Here is a 14,978-nt window from a genome sequence, read left to right on the forward strand (position 1 = left end):
AGGAGCCTGTTGTCACAGTCTTTAGGATGTATTTATGTGCTCTGATCTTCTGGCCTCCTGACACTAAATATAACTCTTTCTTATTGGTACTCAGCTGATATACACAACTCAGGCTCTTTTTGTGAATGTTTGCTGAATGAGAGATTTGTTAACACCTACTGTATTCTCAGCTCTGAGAATATTAAACCTCTAAGATACAATGCAAGCCTCTGAGAGCAAACAGTCTTCTCTGTGCTATCAAAAAGCTAAGAACTTGGTCATTAGGGAAATGCAAATCAAAGCCACAATGAGATACCTCTTCATACTCAGTAGGATGGCTGTAATACAAATAATTAAAAAAAAAAAAACAAAAAAAAAAACAGAAAATAACATGTTGGCAGGTGTTAAAAGAAAAAACTTTAGACAAATTAAATTTAACAGAGTTTAACTGAGTAAATAACAATTTGAGAATGGGGCAGCCTCTAGAATCAGGGCTGCTACATGGTGGGCTAACATTTAAGGACAAAAAAGGGAAAGTAACGTACAAAAAAGCGGAAGTGAGGTACAGAAACAGCTGGATTGGTTACAGCTCAGCGTTTGCTTTATTTGAATACAATTTAAACAGTTGGCTGCCTGTGATTGGCCAAACTAACACCTGTAAAGGAAAGCAATATGCCTATGATTGGCCAGAACTCTGCGATTGGTGCAAGTGTAGGTTACAACAGTCTGTTTACATATCCAATTAGGTTTCAGTTAAACATTTAGGTTGGACCTAAATATGTAAGGAGGCAGCTTCAGGCTAAACTTAATTTAACACAGTGAAGTGGAGAAATTGGAAAAAACACAACTAAGAACCAATTTTAAAGTCACCAGTCAGGTCTAGTTTGGGTGAAATTAATGCATGTTCACTTGAGAGCATTAGTTGAAACTTCCTGTAATTCAGTTGGCTTGATTGGTGGCCACCTTGCTTTGGTTAAAGATACAAATAAGGGACTTCAAACACCGTAAGTAGGTTTCTGATCTGCTTCTCTGAGCATTAGTACCACAGGTAGAATGATCATGTAACTGATCATCCAAACTGTGACAATTATTTCCAAGACAAATGCTAAAACAAAAAGGACAGTGGGACAGAAGGCCAACCCATGGTTGCCTTTGCTGGAGGAATACTAGTAACATATTGACACCAGAGAACTGACTTTTTCTTTACCAAATCAATCATAGTAGATTTTACGATTAATCTATTTAATCTGTGGGAAAAATGTAACAATGGCCCAACGATAGAACCAAAGGATACATACTGTGATTTACCAGGAAGCAGCAGTGGCAGGGTTCCACGTGAAAAAATAGGTATCTTTTTCTCTTTTTCAGGTTTGCCTCTTTTTTGACCCACGCATGCTTCCGTTTTCTTCCATGGGAGGTTGGTCAGAAAGTGGCAGCTCAGGGTAGATGTCAGGAAGACAGTGGTCGGAAACAGACCCAGAGAGGGATTTGGGCCACCATGATAAGAGAGGAGTGGCCAAAGGGATGAAAAACTTACAGTTTATTGGCTGGGCACAGTGGCTCCCACCTGTAATTCCAGCATTTTGGGTCGCTGAGGCGGGCAGATCACTTGAGATTAGGAGTTCGAGACCTGCCTGTCCAACATGGTGAAACCCCCTCTCTACTAAAAATACAAAAATTATCCGGGTGTGGTGGCAGGAGCCTATAATCCCAGCTACTTGGGGGGCTGAGGCAGGAGAATCGCTTGAACCCAGAAGGCGGAGGTTGCAGTGAGCAGAGATTGCGCCACTGCACTCCAGCCTGGGCGACAGAGCGAGACCCTGTCTAAAAAAAAAACCCTACAGTTTATTGATTTCCTTTCCTTTACAAGGAAAAAGAGTTGGCTGCCTTCATGTATGACTTTTAATCTTTGTATCTCTGCCCAGAGGCACATTTTGGAGATGATGCTGTTTAAATTTCCAAATCAATAAATAAGCAGGGTCAAAGATCCAAAACTAGCAAATTGCTATTTCCAGGAAAAGATGCTGGCCTTGTCAATGTGGTTCTGTCCTGCACATACCAGGGAGTTCACACTTTTCCTGCCCAGGCCTAGAGTTGCTTGGAGCTATTCATTCTACAGAAGTGCCATCCAACTATCTTGGTATGATTGCCACAAAGAACTTTTGAAGAGGGCTGAACTAGGTGGGCCTTAGAGACCTATAAAGGAAAGTAATATGCCTAGATTTTTATATGTGTATATAAAGCACTGTAAGAGCTATGACTAAAGAAATGAGAATGTCAGTGTGAAACTTTTTGTGATTCTGCCTGGGCGTCCATCAGATGGCCTTTCTTCTAAGAGGTAGAATCAGAACACATTGGCTTAGAAGCTGCTGTAGAAAACTGGCCCATCTGGCTATTCTAATTGTTTCAGAAAAGAAATACCACTGTATCTATATATGGATCTCTTGGTGTCCTCACTGCCAAATATACATAGATCATACAAGACCCTAAAACCGTTATCTGTTATGCTTTTGGCTTACTTTCCACTGGGCTTTTTTCCCCCACTTTCTTAAATAAGGTTATTATGACTCACATTCAGCTTCCTATATTCTATGAATTCACCCCCTTGCAAGAAGTTGTTTTTTAAAAAATCATGGTTGTCTAAAAGCCTTATAGTTGTAAATTTCTCCTTTCCTTCTGGTAGTACCTTGCACTTGTATGTATAGAAAAACGACCACAATGTAACTGTTGAAATAAATACCTTTTGCAGTGTCTTCCCAGCTCAGTACCCCCTTCCATTGAGAATATCTCCATCTCCATAAGACATAACGTTTGTGATGGCTCACTCTGCTCTCCTGTCCATGAAGGGACTCCTGAGTTTGAGGTGAGCCAATCAAATTGGAGCTGGGGTTCAGTAATAGACAACCTGTTAACTGGAATGAAGGTAATGGAAACTGATGAGCAGAAGCTGCCATCATAGAAAAGCATTCTCCTCCACATGCCAGGAGAAGCAGGAAAGTGGATATTTTAAGAGAAGAACAGAACAGATGTGCAAAGTAAAGGATGGAAAATGATCTGGCTAGAGACAAAGAAGAGGAGGGGTGGGAGAGAGAGAGAGGAAGGGACTGGAAATAGTAGTTCCTGGTAGTTTTCTAGTTCCTGGTTCTCAGCTATCATGAAACCCACTCCTGTCCTTGGGTTCTGTGAGATATTCTGGACTTTTATACAAAGGTCTCCTGACTTTCCCCCCCCTAAGCTAGCTTGAATGAGTTCCTGTTATTGACAACCAGAAGACCATTGACTAAGACAACTAGAACCCACCTCTCCATTTTCTCATCTGTTTTGAGTCCCAGAACAGAAGAATGAACCTGGATTCTTCCTGAATTAGTGAAATACAATTGTAGACATTTAGATCTGAAATAATCTAATCCAACATATTTATTTTATGGATGAAACAGTAATGTCCAAGGAAGTTAAATGGCTTACCCAAGGTCAAGGTCACACAGTTAGGGGATAGTAGGATTAAAACTAAACCTTAGGTCATTTGAATGCCAATCTGGCTTTCTTTCCACTAAACAAATCTGCCTTTTAATGAAAACATTTCAGCATCACACTTGGTGCAGAGAACAGCTGCTCCCTCTTCTGAATGATGTGGTAGATCCTGCAATCAAGGGATCCCCGTCCTCAAACACAGTGGGGGGCTGAGGATCCAGGCTGAGCTTTTAGAGTATCACAGACCTCTAGCATCAGTGATTGGCTCAGAGGTGGGCTTCAGCTCCAAGTTAGAACTACTTAAGGACTTTTTAGGGAGAATAATCAGGCACTTAGACAGAAGGAGAGAATGTGGATCTCTCGTTTTTGAGCTCTGAGAAATTAAGGATCACATGAGCTTAGAGCTGCTAGGGGTTGTCTTTTCAGCATGAGAAGACAGCCTGCTGAAGAACAGAGCCAGCACAGAGGAAAACAGAACCAAGAGATGGAGAGAGATAGATGTCCGATAACTTTACCTGGGCACCTAGATTTAGCCATGCCTGAAGTTATCCAATTCCTGAACTTATCAGTTACCTGACCCAGTGCATTTCCTTTTCTACTTAAGCTAGTTTGACTTGACTTTCTAGTATATGCAACCAAGTGAGGTATAATACCAAAACATTGATGGCTAATCCTAGTTTAACTTTATATACTTTTGCTGATTTTTATATGCTACAGAGAGGCTATATCTTTGGGTCGTTGTAAACAGATGTCAGCTATTTTGGTTAAAATGTATTTAATATGACTTATTAAGACTAAACTAGGAGCAGTAGTGACAAAGAAATACAACTGTGTGTGTGCTTTTGTTTTCCGAGGAAGAAGAGTAATTTTTCCTAAAGCAGTAGATGGGCTTTTTTCGTTGTTTCTGACCCCTTTTACACTTTTAGGACTTATTGAGGACCCCAAAGAACTTTTGTTATGTGGGTTCTGACTATCAATATTTACTGTATTAAAAATAGAAACTGAAAATCTTCAAAATATTTAGTGATTCATTTGAAGATAGCAATGATGAAAGCATGTGAACATAAATAATATCTTAGTATTATAATAAAATTAGTTTTGACCTTGCAGGCCCCCTGAGATCTGTTCTAAAGAAAAATGTCAGTTTGTGTGGGATAAAAAAGAGCAAAATGTAGGACAAACTTGGAAAGTGTGTTTTATTTGCCTTCGTTTATAACACTTGAGTCAGAAAAGGAGCTCCATAATCTGTTGAAATCTTAGCAAAGTTTGCCTAATTTTGGTAAGCCTTTTTCGTTGTTTTACTGATTAATGCTTTCACCGACAATGTAAAAGGTTATTCATTACTTGCTGTGTAATCTGCCTGGATAGCAAAGATTCTAGGTCTTACCAGAATAATTTCCTGTGCTTTCTGTTGACCTTACTAGATCCTCGACTATTTAAAAAGAAAAAGTACAAAAGGTTTTCACTTATGAAAGAGCAAAGGTTCTTTTTAATCATGTTGCCTTCTATGTTTATTTCAAAATGCTTTTTTGTGACTCAAATAAGTAATAAAGTATTGTTTCTAAGGCACCCATGATCCTATCTTAATCAAGCATTCAAATATGTTCTGATAAGTTTTTTTTTTAAATTTTTGTTCTCCCAAAAAAATTAGATCTTAAATTTAGGAAAAAATAAAAAAAATCAGAATTTTTTTTTGCCATTCTTTCGTCATAATTTTTTAACCTTTTTTATGATAATAAAATACATGGAACATAAAATTTAACATTTTCCCTATTTTTAAATGTACAGAAAATTAGGATATCTTTTACACCTAAAATATCTTTTGGATTTTCCAGTGTATCCTTTGAAAATCACAAACTTGTTTCTTTCATCACATAAAAAGATAAGGGCTAGGTTTCTTTGATGTGTTACTATTGTAGGATTTGTATGAGAAGAGTTATCTAACCAGAGAAGGTACTTAGTCTTCCCTAGGTTAGATTTGTGTAAATAAAATATTCTTAGTGTAACTATTTCAGAAATGGTATACAGATGGTCCCCAACTTACAATGGTTTGACTTATGATTTTTCAGCTGCGTTTATTGGGGTAGTAAATGCATTTTTGACTTCTGACATTTTTTATTTACAATGAGTTTATTGGGATTTAACCTCATTGGAAGCCAAGGAGCATCTGGACTTTAGAGGAAATCCCTGGAGATTTATCAGTACCCTGGCTGTCCATGATTTATTTTTACCCTCAAGGAAAACACTGATCAAACTCTTATGAAATTGGTTTGTTGTGTTTTCTTTATTTATCAGAGTCCTGACAATGCTTTGCCTGATGATATTAGACAACAGTGTAGTGTTCTCAATCCTAATTTCAGTTATTACTTAAAATGTTTCCTTAGCCTGGCCACAGTCTTATATTTTTAATTTGAATTTACTATCTCCTAAGCTAGTTGTTTTCAACTATGGAGTTTTATAAAAAATAAAATGCCTAGGCCCTACTGCTGAATCTCTTTACTTCATATATTTGGTATATTATGTCTCATAATTGTTATATCTCAATTTATTTTTCTATATAAAAATTGTGTTCCTCCATTTTTATAAATCAGATTTTTTTAATGCAAACTTAATTATTATCCTTAGAGACAACTTGCCTATTTTTTTATTTTATTTTTTGGAATGGCTTTATTATCTTTGGCATGCTACAGAAGCAACCACATTTCTTTACTGGTTGCATTATAATTATGCACCCCTCATCTGACCTGTCACATTTGAGGGTTACCAGTTATAAATTAAAAACAGCCACTCTAAGTCTCTGTCATCTACAGATTTTTTTTTTTCACTCTGAGGCTTGTGTGAATGCCCTGGTATAAGCTACAGGCCAGATTTTGTGTCTTCAGCCAAGGACAGTTTCAGGCTTGTGTGAAGGCCCTGCTATAAGCTACAGGCCAGATTTTGTGTCTTCAACCAAGAAAGACAGTCTCAGAGCTTCATGGAGAAGGACTGTATTGGATATTTCAAACTGTTGACACTTTAAAACATAGACTCTTGGGTATAGCTTTCTGAGCTGGTATCTCTTAGATAACTCTCAGCTCAGATGAGTAAACTCAGTCAAGATCTCTAGGACTCCTTTTAGTCTGGAGAACTGCTAACCTAAGATCCTCAGGACAAGAGTTACTTACATAAGGCTAAATGAACTGATGAGGGAAATTTTATTGTGTTTTTTAAAATAATATTGTTGATTTTGTTTCACTGTTCTATAGTCTGGTTGTATAAATAAACCAATTTCTTTTTTTCTAAGCTATCTACAACCTATAAAATTTAGTAGACTACTTTTGTAAATTGTATTAGTTTGTTTTCACACTGCTGATAAAGACATACCCAAGACTGGGCAATTTGCAAAAGAAAGAGGTTTGATGGACTCACAGTTCCACATGGCTGGGGAGGCCTCACAATCATGGTGGAAGGTGAAAGGCACGTCTCACATGGCAGCAGGCTAGAGAGAAGAACTTATGCAGGGAAACTCCTCTTTATAAAACTGTCAGATCTCGTGAGAGTTATTCACTATCATGAGAATAGCACAGGAAAGACTCGCCCCCATGTTTCAATTATCTTCTACTAGGTCCCTCCCACAACATGTGGGAATTATGGGAGCTACAATTCAAGATGAGATTCGGGTGGGGACACAGCCAAACCATATCATAAACTGAAATGAAACATCTTAAATTGTATTTGATTCTCACTGATCCTACAGAATCCAGAAACTTACTGAGTCTCTTTGCTTTTCATGGCAACGTAGTTTTATGTAAAAGCTCAATAAGAATATCTTCTCCTTCTTACTAGGATATAATTGGATGAATCAGTTGTACAACCAGGGCCTTACCTGGAGTGTCCTTTTTGAGAATGATGCTTATTTTATCAGAAGTAACCAGCCACTTTTCAGAAGCTAAAGTTGACGTTACTTATGGAGCCAATGCATACAAAGCCCTCCTAGGAAAACTGGCTGGTGTCTGGCTTATAGGATCCCAGCCTTACAGGAGGTGAGGAATATTATTCCCGTCAGGCCAGAAACTCAAGAAATTTGGAGGAATTTAAGAAGAAAGAAATTCACCCAAACATATAGATACTATGGGTGATATTTTTTGGTAAGAGTTTCTAAAAGATCATTTGGGATTCCTTATTAAAACTTCTAGACAGAAGTTAACTTTGTAAGTGATTAATACTATATGGACCTGGATTTTGCAAGCCAAACTTAAGAATAATCTTCCTTTGAAATTGTTATGATCACGAAAGGAAAGCAGACGCTAGGGAAAAATTGTGAAAGACTGAAATAGACCGAAAGGTGGACTGGTGTCTTCAATGGAAAACTATGCCTTGTTTTAGGGCACCCCCTTCCAAGTTTTCTGATTCTATAAATGATGTGCCTTTCATTATCTTTGAGCTCCTATATAGAACACTTATAGGAATGTAAAAAGTTCTTGTCTATAGAAATAAAAATTGTGTTCAGTGAATAGCAATTGATTATTGTCCCATGGATATTAACCAATTTTACATCTATTTTTACATTCATTTCAGCATTCCTGATTCAACGATAAAAGTGTAGTACATTGAATTCTCCTATATAGCATCTTACTGGTTCCCTTATGAGTTAATTAAGAAGTTAAATAAAATCTTTGATGTTTCATCCTATATTTTTGTGTCATGATTTTACCTTTTTTTAAACAAGTATCCTTTAAAGTTATTTGCCTATTGTATATTTTCCCATTTCTTTGCTTTCATACTTTCTCTATTAGAAATTGTGTCTCTTGTAAACAGCATATAGATGAGTTTTACTGTATTTTTTTTTTTTTTTTTTTTACTTATTTATTTTGAGACAAGGTCTTGCTCTGTCACCCAGGCTGGAGTGCAGTGGCATGATCACGGCTCACTGCAGACTCAACCTCCTGGGCTCAAATGATCCTCCCACCTCAGCCTCCTAAGTAGCTGGGATTACAGGCATAGGCCACCATGCCCAGCTAATTTTTTATTTTTTTGTAGAGACAAGGTCTCACTATGTTGCCCAGCCTGGTCTCAAACACCTGAGCTCAAGCAATCCTCCTGCTTTGGCCTCCCAGAGTGCTGGGATTATAGGTGTGAGCCACTATGCCCGGCTGTTTGGTTTATTCTGTCTGGCACTCTTATGTTTTCATCTGTGGGTTAAGTCACACATTGATTCCTATATTCACATTGATTATGATTACACTTAATTGGAATTATTTATTCCATCTTGGTTTCTTTTTATTTCTTTCTCGCTGTCTACTGGATTGATGGAGTTTTTTTTATTTCCCATTTTTCTTTCTACTCATTTGGAATTTTTCATTCTTTTTCTAATACTTAGTGGTTACCTTTGTGGCAGACACTGTTAGATGCCCTGTGTCTTAGTCCATTTATGTTGCTATAAAAGAATACCTGAGGCTGGGGAGTTTATAAAGAGAAGAGGTTTATTTGGCTCATTGTTCTGCAGGCTGTACAAGAAGCATGGCACCAACATCTGCACCTGGTGCAGGCCTCAGGCTGCTTCCACTCAAGGTGGAAGACAGAAGGGGAGCCTGTGTGGAGAGATCACATGGCAAGAGAGGAAGGAAGGTAGGGGAGGGGGCAGGCTCTTTTTAACAACCAGCTCTCGGGAGTGAACAGAGTGAGAATTCACTCATTACTGCAGGGATGGCCCCAAGCCATTCATGTGTGATCCACCCCCATGACCCAAACACCTCCCAATAGGCCCTGCCTCCACCACTGGGGATGAAGTTTCAACACGAGGCTTGGAGGGTCAAATATTCAAACTATAGCACCCTGCAATAGTCATTCTCCTTTTCTTCCTTAGCAATAAGATTCTGGAAAATATACCTTGCTGAAAAACTACTGATACAAAGGAAACAATAATATGTAACAGGAAGTTGCTGGTTGGGACTAAAAGAGTAATGACAGTTGGCCTGTGTTCCTCTGTCCTTCCCTCTTTTATCCTGGTGTAGGTGTAGGAATGTGGGTGTAGACGGAACTCCAGAAACCATCATGGACCATGAGGCAACTCTGAGGATGGAAGCCACACACTAAGGACGGTAAAGCAGAAAGAAGAGCTGAAACCCTGATGATAAAGAAGCAGCCAATTCCGTCCTGCACTGCCCACCTCCAGATCTCATTCATGTGAAACAAAGAGAAACTTTATCTTGTTCAAGTCACTTTAGTCAAGATTTTTATTATCAGATGAATGCAATTTCTAATTGATACACCTTAAAATTTTCAACATGTACACCTGATTTAACAAAATCTAGAATTAAGTCAATACTTCTACATGCATTATAGACCAAAGGTCACTGCTATAAGAACTTTGGGTATATAGTCAAATTCCTCACATTTTTAGAAACTTGTTTATTCATTGCATCCCTCCCCCATCTCACTCTCTCACACACTCACATATTTATTTTCTCAGATCCTTATAAGTTCATAAGACATATGTCCTTATTCCATTTTTACAGATGAGAAAACTGGGGTTTGCAGGGGTTAAGTAACTTATCCAAGATCACACAATTAATTAGTGGCGAAGTCATAATTTGAAGTCTTTCTAATGCCCAAATGTTTCCATTGTGTCACATATCGGAGCTGTGCTCTTTCCATCAGCCAGTTTCCCATTATCATAGCTGATGACATGCACACCCACCATCTGGGGCAGGCTTTAGTACAGCACTCTGTGCCATCATCCAGATCACCAAATCTTAGTAAATGGACGTGTCATAAGAGATAAGGCTGCCATAGAATCACAGCAGCTTCTGGCTTAGTAAATTACCTGGATACACACCTTTTCCTAGAGGAAATCCCACATCTTCGTAGGAGATCTGGTGTAATGCTCTTGGGACCTCTCTCTAGAGGATGAGCTAGTATCACTGGGTCCTAGTAAGTTTCAGCAAATATAATAGAGACAGAACTGTCATCATTATCAGAAAAGAAACAGAGAAAAATGTTAAAACAATGGTTTTGTGACCTTAAAGTCTGTGTTAGTCCCTTAGCACCACCGCTGAGATTTTGCTGAAAGGGACGTTTTGTGTGTTGGGCTTCACTGAAGGAAGCCCCTGAAAGTGTTCAGAAATAGGGAAAATGAGAAACTGTTCCAGCTGAAAATACGGGCAAGGGGGAATCATTGAAGAAGACAGAATATTGAAGTGTTCAAATGAATAAAGAAGCTAAAAACTAAATCATAAGTATTTCTGTTTCTTTGATATATATAAAAGGAAAATGTTTACCAGGTGAATGTGATCAGCTAGGCATGTTTTGAAGGCAATTGTAGCCAAAATGTAACCCCAACTCGCTCAAATTCTACATCCAAACCTTTCAGAGGAATGTCCAAAAAAGAAATAATTTTGTAAAAACTAAGTTTGGAAGATTCAGAAACAAAATTCAGAATGAATTTTGTAGGAAGGCTGAAGGAAATCCTTTTCCAGAGCTTTACTGGGCAGTTGGGGTAAATCACAATGACTCATTTATATAGATCTTCAACTTTTCGCTGATCTTCCAACTTGATTTTCTTTCAGACTCTAGTTGCAGTGACACATAAACTATGGCGCAGGCTTAACTCATGTCTGCCCTCTACTTATCCTCCCCGCCCCACTGCTGGGCTCACTGTTCTGGAGCACAGTGCAGGGAGAAGACAGCTCTCATCCCTCCTGTGTTGCTCTCCTGGGAGTTACTTCTCCAGATCCTATGGTCTTTTCACCTCTCCCATCACAACTGTGACAAATCAAACACCTCTCTCCTGACCACCGTCTCCTGGAACCTGGGGTCTACAGTCCCTCTTGATACAATGAGACGACCTTGCGTTCAGGTGAAGGGTGAATGTGGAACCAGCTACGCTTCCCTCTCTGCCTACCTCCTCCTACTGCATAACCACAAGGCTATGTGGATGGAGCAGATTTATCAAAAACTAGGGCTAATTTAACGGACTTACAATATAGGAGTGAATCAAAGGTCAAATTATATGTTAACATCAAACTTACACTAGAATAAAAGCCATGGAGAACTTCAAAACAGAGATGGGCAGAAGAGTCAGCATTAGCAGGACAGTCTAGGGTGGCCTTTGCATTCCATACTGAGCTCCTGATGTCCTAGCCAGTGGGGTTTGAATATGTCTCCTCTTCTTGCCAACACACATCTCCCAAAGGCAAATGGTGATTTTCAGAGACAGCAAAGTCCAGATTTCTATAAATGAACAGAAACGTTCCTTAAATACAATGAAGACTGTACAACTCTGCCTACTGGTGGGGATAAGTTTTTTTGTCTGTTTGTTTTGTTTTTTGAGATAGGGTTTCCCTCTGTCACCTAGGCTGGAGGGCAGTGGTGTGATCATGGCTCACTGCAGCCTCGACTTCGAGGGCTCAAGGGATTCTCCCACCTCAGCCTCCCAAGTAGCTGGGACTACAGGCACATGCCACCATGCCCAGCTAATTTTTGTATTTTTAGTAGAGACAGGTTTTCACCATGTTGCCCAGGCTGGTCTCAAACTCCTGGGCTCGGTGATCCACCCACCTTGGCCTCCCAAAGTGGTGGGATTACAGGTGTGAGCCACCACGCCTGGCTGGGGAGAAGTTTTAATTTTCCTTCTACTTCCAAACCATGGCCAAAGGCTATGGGAACACAAGAAAGGGGGTATGGGTAGCCCTGGTGTTTCCTCACCTACTGGCTGCACAAAACACCTGGCTAGAGTTCTGAAATGACCACTGCCCTGTGCATGAGGCCTAAATACACCCCTACAACCTGGGATGCCTCACAGGACTCTCCCCAAACAGGAGGGAGGCAGGGCAAAGGTTTATGATCTTCTTAGCTAAGCAACTGGTGGCTTTACCAGTTGTTCTAAGGAAACAAAATTTCAAGCAACTTCTGCAGATGAACTTTCCAGGATGAATTTCAGCTGCTTTATGTGCATACCCTTTCCACTAGTTAGTAAAAATGACCAAAACACGACTGTTGCAAGACTTTTCTCTCTAAATCTGTGGTTCTCAAGTAGGGGTAATTTTGCACTCAGGGGACATTTGGCAATGTCTGGAGAAATTTTTGCTTGTCACAGTGGAGAGAGGGGAGGGTAGAGGGAGATGCTACAGGCATCCAGTGGGTGGAGGCCAGGGAATGTGGCTAAAAATCCTGCAATGTGCAGGACAGCCTCCAACAACAAAGAATTTTTGGCTTCAAATATCAATAGTGCTGCTGCTGAGAAACCCTGCTCTAAAGACTTGGAAAAAAAAATGAGATTTAGGTTCATCTGTGACCAATATTACCAGTCATATCACTCCTGAATTTCACTTTAAAAATTCATTAGCTGATCTTCTTACACATCATCCCTAAGAAGTAGATTAAGAGTAATAATGGCATTTACTGAGTTCTTACTATGTGCTAGGTTCTGGGATAAGGACTTTATATACTTTATCTCACTGTTGTCCCTGTTTTCAGAAAAGAAAACTGAGCTCCGAGCAATGAAGGAAGTTGCAGATGCACATAAAACTTAAAATGGCAGAGGGAGGAATCAATGCAGACATGGAGTTCTGAAGCTTTTGCTGTTGCTCTCAGTGCATTTCTAAGGAAACCCAACGGTATCCATTTCATTGACCAATTGCTTTGTACCCAAAATTTTATTTTTCATAAGAGTTTTTCATTTTCTGACAAAAACTATTTGTTAAATAAACATAACTTCATAATTCTGATCACATCACTTGGAGCAAATTTGACTGATACATTTTAAAACACATGGATTAAAAAAAAAACTCCTTCTTTCCCGAAAAAGGAAAAAAGGAATGTATTTTTCATATTTTCATCTCCAATTTAAGGAATTCATTTTTGGAACACATATTATGCTTTAAATGGTGGTGCCAGGTAAAACTGCAAGGAAGCTTGTGCTATCTGGAGACACCCATACTTTTTTTTTTTAAGGACCATTTTGTAACTTTACAACAGCATATTGCATTTTTATATTCATGTGCCTGTCTCCTTCATTGTCCTGTGTATTAGTTTTCTACTGCTGCATGAAGAATTTAAACAGACCTAACAGCTTAAAACAACACCCATTTAATAGCCCACAGTTCTGAAAGTCGGAAGTCCCAGCACAGCCATGGCATCACTGGGTTCTCGCTCAGGTTCTGCGAAGGCTGCAATCATGGTAATAGTCAGGCTCAGTTCTTGTCTGGAAAAGACAACAAGTTTGAGAAAAAAATCTGCTTTTCAAGCTCATTCGGGTTGTTGGCAGAATTCAGTTCCTTGCAACATTGGCCTAGGCAAATAATTTATGACTAAAACCCCAAAGGAAGTGCAACAAAAACAAGAATAGACAAATGGGCCTTAATTAAACTAAAAAGCTTCTGCACAGTAAAAGAAACAATCAACAGAGTAAATAGACAACCTACAGAATGAGAGAAAATATTTGCAAACTACGCATCTGACAAAGGACTAATATCCAGAATCTACAAGGAACTCAAACAACTCAACAAGAAAAAAAAAAAACCCATTAAAAAGTGGGCAAAGGACATGAACAGATATTTCTCAAAAAAGACATACAAGTGGCCAACGAACATATGAAAAAATGCTCAACATCCACTAATTATCAGAGAAATGCACATTAAAACCACAATGAGATACAATCTCACACCAGTCAAAATGGCTATGATTAAAAAGTCAAAAAACAGCAGATGTTGGTGAGGGTGCAGAGAAAAGGAAACATATATACGTGTTGGTGGGAATGTAAATTCGTGCACAGTGCCTGGTTCAGAAGACACACTTTACAGAAAAAAGCTGGCTGAATGTTTATAACGTGTCTGTGTTTGTAGTGTTCAAGTCCTGAGGGCGAGGACCCTAGTGCATTTTCTGCAATCCAGTAATGCCTGTCCAGTATATGGCAGCCAGTGAGCACTCAACAGGTGCAATCGTTGGGCCACACACTCTTGTTTTAAAATGTGCTTTATCCTCTTGACCTTTTTAGGTTATGCAATGTGAATTCAAGCTGAATAATACTGAAGCCAGTCTTATGAGGCTCATTTCTAAGAAATATTCAGCTTTACGTAACGCAAATAAAAAATCACACACGCCCTTTGCAAGTGAACATTCATATTAGTGTCTGATAAATGCATTAAGAAGACACATTCCCTTAAATCAATCGGAGAACAGAACTTTGGTTTCTGCAAAAAGAAAAGCTCCCTTTTCCTTAGATTTTCTCAGCTCCTCCACTGCTAGCCCCAGACAAGGTCCAAGTTATCTGCAGTTCTATGGCCTCCCTTGCATTTAAATCGCATTTGGGCAAACGCTTCCTGGGCTTTCTAACTCCACAGAAACGCTAACCAGGTATTGGGCGCTCGCACCGCTTCCAGGTAACCCGCGGAGCTGCGGATTCCAGGCTCGCGCTGTGACGTCACCGGGCTCGCAAGCCGCGGCGCGGTCTCAGGCTCCGGTGATTGGCTGGGGCCCATGACGTCACGGCCCGGGGCGGCACCGCGATGGCCAGGGCCCCGGGATGCTCCGGGTTTGTTTAAAAATAA

At 39.5% G+C, this 14,978-nt stretch overlaps 1 protein-coding gene and 1 long non-coding RNA gene across 5 annotated transcripts in view; one reads left to right on the forward strand and one right to left on the reverse strand.

Moving 5' to 3' along the window:
* PLEKHA8 (pleckstrin homology domain containing A8) overlaps window positions 1-10,661 on the forward strand; it is a 102,072-nt gene extending 91,411 nt beyond the window's left edge. For both annotated transcript variants that reach the window (NM_001350973.2, NM_001350974.2), the window contains one exon: window positions 9,444-10,661. In NM_001350973.2, coding sequence (NP_001337902.1) covers window positions 9,444-9,449 — 6 coding nt within the window. In that variant the 3' untranslated portion in view covers window positions 9,450-10,661. The remainder of the gene's footprint in view (window positions 1-9,443) is intronic.
* On the reverse strand, window positions 9,642-14,892 carry LOC105375216 (uncharacterized). Of its 3 annotated transcripts, XR_927146.3 has the most exons (3): window positions 14,782-14,892; window positions 13,495-13,633; window positions 9,642-11,661 (listed from the first exon to the last, which is right to left on the reverse strand). It is a non-coding gene; the product is annotated as an uncharacterized LOC105375216 (long non-coding RNA). The 3 variants fall into 3 exon arrangements; XR_007060271.1 differs by lacking the exon at window positions 13,495-13,633 and having other exon boundaries at window positions 14,782-14,810; XR_007060270.1 differs by lacking the exon at window positions 14,782-14,892 and having other exon boundaries at window positions 13,495-13,716.

This window comes from Homo sapiens, chromosome 7 (assembly GCF_000001405.40).
Source record: "Homo sapiens chromosome 7, GRCh38.p14 Primary Assembly".
Taxonomy (NCBI): domain Eukaryota; kingdom Metazoa; phylum Chordata; class Mammalia; order Primates; family Hominidae; genus Homo; species Homo sapiens.